The following is a 1336-nucleotide window of genomic DNA, read 5'->3' as shown; positions in this document are numbered from 1 at the left end:
GGTGGGGAGAATGGTTATAATTTTAGGCACCCACAATTTTATACAGTTGGGAGGGTGAAACGCTTTCATCCAACTTGAAGAAATACCCCAAACTCTTCCAGGCATTTTCCATTTTGAACAAATTTCAGCTTAGCCAAGTGACATCTATCTACAGGTGGACTCGATCCACTTTCTTAGGGCTGTTACTAAAGTATATTGGCAGCCTCTGGGTCCCTGAGATGGCCCACCTTAAAAGCAGGGTTTCCCAGCACCCGTGAACTCTAAACCCCAGACAAATAACCACAATGGGCATTTTTGAAATGGCTGCTTGACATTTGCTAAACCTGGTTGTGACTTTTAATTATCCGAAGTTTGGTTTCCCCTGAAGCCTGAGCCTGCAACAAGGGCTTGGATACAGGGGATTTACTTGAGAGGTCACTCTAGGAAGCAGGAGTGTGGAGTGGATGACTGTCAGGCTCATATAAGGGGGCTTCTCAAAATTGCTGCTCCAGACCCCAAAGCCAGCTGCAGTGGGGCCTTGAGAAGCATAGAGAATGCCTCCAACAGATGTTCCCGAACGTCAGGGAGGTCTAAGCACTGATTCACTGCTTCTAAGCCTAATTGGTAGAAGGTTACCCTCGGGGGCATTAGCTCCTCTGCTGTCCTGGCCTGTGCTTTCTGCACTGGCCAAGCAAGCTGCCTCAGCACAGAAAGCCCTAAAGCAAAATACAGAAAGATGCTTCCAGGCAAAGCAGGTGAGTCTGAGTTCAGCCCGAACTGCTCACCTCAGGAACATCCAGGGGCTACTGCCACGCCTCTCAACACCTTTACAGGGTAAGGTATTATTCTTATTATCCCCATCTTCAAGCTAAGGAAACTGAGGCTCAGACAGGTGAATCTTCTGCCCAGCGAGGAGGCAGGGACTGGGGTCCCAGCACAGGCTGTCCGCTCCACAGCCTCTCCTTGGAACCTGCCACCCTGTGGGGCAAAGGACTGGAGGGACACCAGCCATCTGGTGTGCCTAGGACTATCCAATTTTCAGCACTGAAAGTTCCAGATCCCAGGAATCCCTTAGTCCCAGGCAGAACGAGATGGTTGGCAACGCTCGTGGGTCTCTCTGCCTGTTCAGCTCCTGGCTCTCCCAACGGTCTCCCTTGTGAGCAGCAACAGACATGTGGCTTAAAGACGGTCTTTCTCCTCTTCTCTCGCTCCACTTCTGCATTCTGGTAAGGCTGTTTCTAAGTAAGACCCAGATAAAACTGGCTTTCAAATGGTGATTTCCCCTGAGTAAACCTTTTATGTAGAAGGTGAGAGACAAGAAAGTTTTTTGTTCTTACTTCCTTTAATGAAGCCCTTT

General features: G+C 49.3%; 1 annotated feature.

Annotated features, from left to right (window-relative positions):
• Positions 373-947: an enhancer, noted in NCBI's record as "H3K4me1 hESC enhancer chr3:72184639-72185213 (GRCh37/hg19 assembly coordinates)". NCBI's record gives its function as "activates a minimal SCP1, AML or CMV promoter by ChIP-STARR-seq in naive H9 embryonic stem cells {active_cell/tissue: H9 hESC(naive)}" and the evidence as "EXISTENCE:reporter gene assay evidence [ECO:0000049][PMID:30033119]".

Source organism: Homo sapiens, chromosome 3, assembly GCF_000001405.40.
Source record: "Homo sapiens chromosome 3, GRCh38.p14 Primary Assembly".
Classification (NCBI taxonomy): Eukaryota; Metazoa; Chordata; class Mammalia; order Primates; family Hominidae; genus Homo; species Homo sapiens.
The sequence above is the reverse complement of the archived record's forward strand: the minus strand, read 5'-3'. Positions and strand labels throughout refer to the sequence as shown.